Source organism: Homo sapiens, chromosome 11 (genome assembly GCF_000001405.40).
Source record: "Homo sapiens chromosome 11, GRCh38.p14 Primary Assembly".
Classification (NCBI taxonomy): domain Eukaryota; kingdom Metazoa; phylum Chordata; class Mammalia; order Primates; family Hominidae; genus Homo; species Homo sapiens.
The window spans coordinates 132,357,108-132,366,183 of NC_000011.10; the positions used below are offsets into that span (position 1 = coordinate 132,357,108).

Below are 9,076 nucleotides of genomic sequence, written 5' to 3' on the forward strand. Positions count from 1 at the left end.
ACATCATCACTAATGCCTAATACCAAATTAATATTAATACTACTCTTCATTTCATAAGCGTGGAAGAGAAGTTATTTAATTTTCTTTCAATAGAAGAGGTTCAAAGAATATAGGTTATGAGTATGCAGAGTGGGGAGGTGGGAAGAATGAACTTCTCCAGAAAAGAGAATACTGAAGGAGGGCAGTTCTGGTTTCAGGGGCATGATCCCTTGATGCCCTACTCTTGCCCATGAGTATGTCCAGACAGCAGGTTGACTACAGCAGACACATGTCACCGTTCTCCCTGCAATAACTACAGGGGCTCAGAGATATATGTGGCTTGCTACTCTTGCTCCTAAGTTCACATTAATTAATCTCACAAAGAAGTTTGTGTGTCATTAGCTAGGATCACTGTGCACTGAACTCAACAATATCAAAACCATGGTGACAACTTTTAATATTATCCCACTAAGGCAAGGTCTCAAGAAGTGTGTTTTGCCACAAAACAGGGGATTGGGAGTGTTTCAGGGGAGTGTTTGGGGCTATGGAATGAACACAGAAGTTAAGAGTTTCTGCAGGAGAGTCCAGGCCAAGGCATGTCATCAGGGGACTGAATCAGACCGAGGCCCAAACTGAAACAGTGAACTGATCACAAATAGATAAGTAGAAGGCCCAAGCAAAAGGGACTCAGACAACAGGATTGTTGGGAACCCAGCATGGCTTGAAGAAGGTAAAAAGAGAAAAGGCATAACCTTTCGGCTCTCTGGGGTCGTGGCTGGAGTCCCCACTTTTGTGAGGCAAGTTGCTCTCAACTGTCTGTCCTAATTAGCAGTGTCACATTCAGTTTCGAGATGAGTCACAAGCGATTTCTTGGTAATGATACAGCAGCAAATTTTGCTGATGTTTTCTTTCTTTTTAAATTAGATTCATGCATTAAGACTTCTTTGGTGGTAACTGAGAGTTAGCCACATTGAAATTGTTTCGGTAGGAAGAGGAACGCATTGCAAGTGCTATGTAACTACAAGAGCAGGGACACAGCTCAGTGGGAACCTAGAACCAGGACCCTGACATCCGCAGGGCATGCCCACTCCCCTTTCCAAATCTACTTTTCTCTGCCTGTGGGATTCTTTCCTGCTGCAGGATAGGCTCCTCCACATGGCAGGAGACACAGCTGGAAACAGTTCATGAGCCTCATACCTCACACATTTTGACACTAGAACATCCTGAATCTCTGTTCCAAGTTTCAGTCTGAACATTTCTAACGTTCAGCAGGTGTGTCTTCGGTCGTGCAGCCACCACTGAAACAACCAACCAACTGTGGCCAACCAAATTGTGTCACATTCTTACTCATCTCATTGTAACAGAAATCCATGCCTCCCAGATAAGCCTGTGTCACCCAGACCGGATAGCCAGATGCCATTGCGGAGTGAACATATCCCATATCACATTCCAGTCACACAGCCACGACTCTGGTCCAGTCTTCCACCCTTCTGGATTCTGGTCCAATCTTCAGTGCATCCTGAATTCCTGCCCTAAGTGCTGTTTTGATGCTGTTCTCCTAACTGCCCTTGAAGATATTACTTCTCCAGTTCCTCTCTCACATGGATGCTGTTTTTCTCTCTCACTTCCCCTACAAACACCTGTAGGTTTGAAACTGTACTCGTGGTCCTCCATTGCTGCTTGCAAACCACTTCGTTTTTACTTAAAATCTCCAAGCCTCTGGAATCAGGCCATTAGACCATGTCCACCCCCGTCCCTCTCTCTTCTCTTCACCCATTGACCTACTGATCATTTCCCCTTGTTCTTTAAAGGTTCCAGTACTTGCTTCACTGTGATTCTCTCTATTTCATATTCCATAGCCACGAGGACAATTCATTCAACATCCTGCAGTCTCAGGTTGTAATTTAGGCTAGTGGGGATGGGATGGGGTGCAGAGGACAAAAGAGAAGGGAATTAAAGTTTAAAAAAATGAGGACTCAGCTTGGACTTAAATGATGAATGGTTATTCTATAGGTAAAGCAGGAAAGGACATGCCAGGGAAGAAGAACACGATAGACAAACTCACAGGGACTAGACACAGCCATATCCAGTTGAAACACTGTAAGTCACTTTGGTTGGCCAAGACATAGCAGAAGTAAAAGTACAAGGGGGTGAGAGCAAACAGTAGAGATTCAAATTTCGGAAGGCTTTCTATGCCATATTTAATGAGATTCATCTTTTTCTTGTTTTTGCAATAAAGGGCAGTAGAATAGCTTAGCACATGTGTATGTCTTGATAATGGTACTTTGCACATTATATGATAAGTTACTTCTCAAGCTCTCCCCTTTATCTGTGGATCCATGAGGGTGGAGACTGACTTATACATCTTTATTATCTCCTATATCTAACACAGTGCACATGCAGTAGGCACTCAAATGAAATAGACTTTTGTGAGATGCCTTAAGATCATACTGTTGATAGAATTATTTATAAAGAAAACTATTTAAAAATTTCATTATAAATAATAGCTTATTTTTAAACTAACCCACTCAACTCACAACCCCGGGATAAAGATTGCGTGATTTTGAACATTGTTTAAAATTTCCTGTAAAGAACCATGATGCAGCTGCCCTTTGCCTAGAAGTTTGTGAACAGGGCTAATGCTTTACATGGCTTTATTGGTTTACAGTTTGCAAGGTCCTTTTCTGGTCCATTATTTTATTAAATCTTCTCCATCAAGTTTGAGAGAGGAGAGAGGTGGATCTTATTATCCTTACAGTGAAGAGTGTCAGACACAGACTTAAGCCACTTGGCCAAGGTCATACAAAAAAATAAGTGGTAGAACCTGAACTTAAACTGGGATCCCTGCTCTGAGCACAGTGATCCCTACCTTCTCTGCACACTGCCTCTAGATTACAGTGAGAACATTTGACATTGAAGAGACTGTAGGTAACAAGTGAGGTTTTTATATCCCAGGGCTATAAAGAAAGCCCAAGGTAAAGGCCACTTGTGCTAATAAGTGTGTGAATTGCCTACAAAAACTGGCTACACTTTTCCTTTTTTACTGCTTTGTGCTATTGGTCAGGCCCTTATGTCTAGTCTGAATCTTAGTCTTTTAAGAGAAATCTACAGAAATGTGAAAGGGACTCAGCCTATTATATCTGATCTATGAAAGAATATTATAGGGAGGGTTATATTCACCATCTCCACCGAGGTCATAGCCTCACAGGAAATTAGCGTGTTGCAGCAACGCAAATATAGGCTAGACCACAGAAAAAGCTTCCTGATTGTGAGCACGGTGAGATGCAGGGAATGTGTTTTCAAAGCAGGATATGAAATCTCTATCATTACAGATTTTAAGAATAGGAGAAATTCTGTTCAGAGTAAATTAAAAGCCTGGATGCTGAAGGATGTATAAAATTGTTTTGCTTCCATCTCATCCAGGGTGAGCTGTGCCATTGGGAACTTTGAGCCTTACCCTGTCCTCATTCTTTTCATTCATCTACCCTTCCCACCTGCATTGCTTGTTTGCTTACTACAAGTTAATTTGTTTAACTCTCATTATTTTTTTAAAATGTAAAATGCCTTCTAGTTTTCCATTCTTGGAGAAAATCTGCTGTCTGGAAGGTACCACCTTCTGGTGATACCAAGATGAAAACAGAAAACAAGAAGAAATTAAGCCATCTGTCTCTTTCCTTTCTTGGTTCCTCACCAAACCCTTAACCATGTTAGAAACACCACATGACACTTTTCTAAAAGGTATTAGTTATTTTTTATGCTCTTTACCAATTGCTTTAGTTTTCCCTCTTCCCCAGGTTTAAGTGATCTTAGATTTTTGTCTTTCTTGTTATTTAAAACATATGTGTCTGTGTGTGTATTTTTGTATTTCTTTAATGAGTTCCATCTTACATAATTATACACTGTTGTTTGGGTTATTTCAAAATCATAAATATCCCTCTTTCTTGCATCCATGCTCCCTTCAGGTGTATAACTCTGAGAGCCCTCTCATTCTGAATCTGTGCTCAGCTGGGACTGGCTCTAACTTATCGGATGTCAGCAAATGTGACAAAGCAGAGGCTTTAGAAGTGTTTGTGCCCCGGAGCTTGTTTCCTCTTTAAATCCTATGAGCACCATGGGAAGCAGCTCAGGCTAGCCTGGGGAAGAATGACAGGCCTCATGCAGAGATAAGCAGGAAGAGCCATTCCACTCAAGGCACTCGTTACTCAACTAGCTCACCAACTGCCCGACATGGACCTGAGTGCAGCCTATATCATCCACACCATAGCTAACTCACCCGCTGACCTGTTATGAGAGTCCAACCGAGGTGAACCGAAACCAAGTTAGCCTGGATCAACCACCTACTGATACACAGAATTATGAACAAAATACATGGTTGTTTTAAGCTACTCGGCTTTTGGATGTTTTGTTATACAGCTGTATAGATAACTTATACAGTCTACAAACTCAGAAATGTCAGAATTTGTTTTTAATCTCTTTCCATTTTACTTTGTCTTAGCTTTTCCTACCATGAATTTGGTATGTGCTTCCCTTATCCAAGTTATGTACTCTTATTATGATAAAAATCTTTGTACATGTATGATTAGATAGAAAATTATTTTTTATTTATTTAGTAAAACTAATACATATTAAATTACACATAAATTTTCCTGATGTATGTAAACCTGAATTTATTTTTTCATTTCCCATCAGTAGATTTTTGGAGTTGCTTCCAATATTAAAATCTATGTATCTATAAAGATTCTTGTATATGACTCCTTATGCACATATGAGAGAATTACCTAGAAATAGTTATTAACTCATTTAGTATACATTTTCTCAATTTCACTAGAAATTGCCAATTCTCTAAAGTATTTAATATGTAAACTTTTTGGCTTCACCCATCAATTAGGAAATTATTTTCTATACCAACTTTGTAAGATATATACCTACTTGTTCTTTTAATAACTTTATGGTTTTTCATTAAATCCATGTAGAGTTGAGTTTCAGATAAGGTGGGGAAGGTATAATACATATGATAAGTTTTTTTTTTTTTTTTTTTTTTTTTGAGACAGGATTTCACTCTGTGGCCCAGGCTGGAGTTCAGTGGCACGATCTCTGGTCACTGCAGCCTTGATTTCCTGGGCTCAAGCCATCCTTCTGTCTCAGCCCTCCAAGTAGCTGGGACTACAGGTGCACACCACCATGCCTGGCTAATTTTTTGACTTTTAGTAGAAACAAGGTCTCACTGTGTTACCCAGAATGGTCTCAAATTTCTGAGCTCGAGCAATCCTCCTGGCTCAGCCTCCCAAAGTGCTGGAATTACAGACTTGAGCCACTGCACCTGGACTAGAAAGAAAGTTATTTTTGTGCCATTTTTAACCACTTATGTTTTCCACACTGACTTTAAAAAACTATCTCTTTTAAATAATAAGGCTTAAAATGTTTGGATCTGTGTTTAGGTCTTCTAGTCAGTTGATTAGTTTTGTCTGTTCTTGCACCAATACCATACTTTTAAAATCACTATAAATTTAATATCTTTTTGATAAAGAGGGCTCTCCTCTTCATTTAGATGTTTGAAATACATAGTATACAAAAAGGATAAGCTTTACTTCTCTTATGTACCTCACATTCTACCAAAAGGAGACAAAGGAAACAAAAATAAATAAATAAATAACATATGGCATTGTAGGGGAAACAAATGATTCTTTTTCTCACCCATCATAGGGTTCATGGCTGAGACCCTTATGACAAAATACTGATTAACAAGAGAGAAGCATACAAGTTTATTTAAATTTTATGTGACACAGGAGCCTTCAGAAATGAAGACCCATGGGAACAGGGAGAACTACTTTTGTGGATAGTCATGCAGAATTATGATTGGAGGACAAAAGGGTAGGATCTGATGATAATAAACCTGGGGGAACTGAGCAAGGCGTGTTTGTTCAAATTGGTCTCTATGTCCTTCGGTGACATTTCTGGAACAGCCTACGTCAGCAGAAGGTCAGTTCAGTTTAAGGCCTGCTTCAGGGGAAAAGGGGCAAGGGTAATTCTAATTTCTATGACCTACTTCTGCAGTTTCCTCAATTCCCTTCAGCTTAAAATACTCAGTATACCAAAGCGCCTGATTTTGGATAGCACATCCTGAACCCCATCATTATGTTACATAATCATAAATACTATGAGAGAAGTATGAAGAAGAACTGGTGGGCTTAGGTCACAGAGAGCATGGGCTGTGCCTTTAAGTGGAATTATCAGGACAGGCAGGTGAGATTTGAGGAAAGACTTGGAAGACAGAGTTTGCCTTGCGGATATCTGGGGAAGAACGTTCCAGGAAGAGGGAAATTCTCAGACAAGATTCAAGGCAGTGGAGAAAGTGAGAAATAAGTGATCAGATTTTGAGTTTTCTGTTGGATTGGGTGTGTTTTTTGAGAAAAAGCAAACTATTAAAAAGAATTCTAAAACTTTTGGGCTAAACAACTAGACAGATAAATCTTCTCTCAACTGGGCAGAAAAAGACCAAAGGTAAACAGGTTAAGGTGGAGAAGTTCTAGAGTCCAGCTCTGGACATGGAAGGCTTGGGATGTCGATTAGACATCCACATAAAGATGTTGATATGGCATTTCGATATTCAATTTAACATTTATAAGAGAAATCTGACGAGAGATATAAATTTGAGAGTCACTGGCAAATAGACTGTAATAGTCCTAAGACTAGGTGAACTCAATAGTACTGAGTACTGAGCCCTGGGACACTCCAAGGCTGAGATATTGTAGAGAAGATGAGGAACCAGCAAAGGTGAGAATGAACAGCCAGTTAAGAGGAAAGTTGAGAGATTGTGACATTCTAAAAACCAAATGAACAATATATAAAGAGGAGGAAAGGGTGATTAATGGTATCGAATGCTATGGACAGGCCAAGGACAATTTATCTAAGAATTAACCATTGACTGCAATGACGTTGATGTCATCTGTGACCTTGAGGGGATCACCTTAAATAAAATGAGGGGGCCAAAACCCTCTTTGAAAGATTTGAAGAGAAAATGGAAAGAGAAATCTACACAGTGAATATAAATAACTCTATATATTCAAGGCTGTAGCTATAATGAGGAGAGAGAGAGTGGGAGAGGAGAAATACATGTTTGTATGCCGATGAAAAAATATCCAATAGACAAAGAAAAAAACAGTGATACAGGAGACAAAAAGGAGAATTGCAGAGGGAATGGCTTCAAGTAAGTGAGAGAGAATGAGATCTAGCACGCAGCTGGAGAGATGGGTTTAGATATCGCTAATAAGGAATTTCTAATCAAGTCATGGAAATTTCCTTCTATTCTACTCTGCTAAGAGTTTATTTTAATCATAACTGAGCATTATATTACATCGTATTATTCTCTCACACCTATTTAGATTATCACAGTATTTTTCTTTTTTATTAATGTGGTAAATTACTAGCTTATCTCATGTTGAACATCTTTGCATACATGGGATAAATACTACTTAGTCTTGATGGATTTTTAATGTACTATTATTTTTAATATTTTAAGAGTATTGCTTCTATGTTTCTAAATTAGATCAGCTTATATTTTTATGATTATTGTCTAGTTTTTGGTCAAATATTGTATTACTACTTAAAATTATTTGAATAGTTTTGCCTTAAACAAAAATCTGTACTTTAAAACAGTTTGTATAAAACAGAAATTATCCCTTTATTGAGGATTTGGTGAAACCTGTAAAACCATTCAGGATTGATGCCTTTCTAGGTAGAAGTTTCTAGACTAATGATTTAATCGTTTCATGATTATTAGTAAATTTAGATTTTGTACTTCTTTTGGAGTCAGTATTGTTTTACATATATATAAAAATATATATATGTATATATATACACATATATACACAAACACAATATGCATATGATACAATAATATACTATATTATTTTTAATATATATTGTTTTATGAAAAATAATATCACATTATTTTTAAAATGGTGATAGGAAAGTTGTTTATAGTCTTGTCTTAACTCTATCTGAGATTATATCATCCATTTCCATCATCATTGTCCTAGAAAATATATATTTGCATATAATGTTTTATGTATCAATTTTATCCCCATTTATGTTTTACTTACATAGACAAAGGCAAGAAGAAATAGCTCACAGATGACTACTCTAATTCCAAGATAACTTATAAGCTTGAGTTTAAATCTAATAATATATTTGAAGACTTAATCAGTGGACATATATTACAAGGTTTATCAGTAAATATAAGCTTCTTTAACAAATATCAAATGAGTAAATACAATTTCTCATAACAAACAACAAAAACAAATATTACAGTAATCACAGCCTTGAAACTGAGTTTGATTTTATAGCATAATATACATCATTTTGTTTAGAACCCCTTAGGATAATTTCTTCTCAATAAACTTGCCAGGAAAGCAGTTTTATGACAAAATAGAAGTTAAAAAACAGATAAATTTTTTAAAAAAAGTTTACACCACCTGGCTAAAAAGCACTGATATCTTCAAAACTTCTTGAAATTTCTTATTACTTAACATTGAAACTAGTAGCCTTTGATTTCTTCTAATTTTAACCAAGACTGACTCAAAGTATTTGGGGCTTATAATTGTCAATAGTAGTTCCCCTTTATCCGCTGTTTTGCTTTCTGATGAAACAGATAATTTATGAGTTATCAGTTATAAATTGTGCACAGGTACTTTAATAAAATGCGCTGAGTGGTGTGGTGGAATCTCATGCTGCCTGGCTGTGTCACACCTGGGATGTGATTCATGCCTTAGTCTGGGGTCTCCATGCTGCAGACTCAGCATGCTTATTAGTCACATAGTAGCCATCTTGGTTATCAGATCAACTGTCACAGTATTGCAGTTTAAGTAACCCTTATTTCACTTAACAATGGTCCCAAGGCACAGGAGTAGCGATGCTAGCATTATTATAATGTTAAATTGTATTATTAGCTACTGTTATTAATCTCTTACTGTGTCTAATTTATAAATTAAACTTTACCATAGGCATGTATGCAGAGGAAAAAATGTAGTGTATGTAGAGTTTCAGACTACTATCTGAGATTTCAGTCATCCACTGGGAGTCGCGGAACATGTTCTCT

At 37.5% G+C, this 9,076-nt stretch overlaps 1 annotated feature.

The window, feature by feature from the left end:
* Window positions 947-1,036: an enhancer, noted in NCBI's record as "active region_5765". NCBI's record gives its function as "activates an Ori minimal core promoter by ATAC-STARR-seq in GM12878 lymphoblastoid cells {active_cell/tissue: GM12878}" and the evidence as "EXISTENCE:reporter gene assay evidence [ECO:0000049][PMID:35858748]".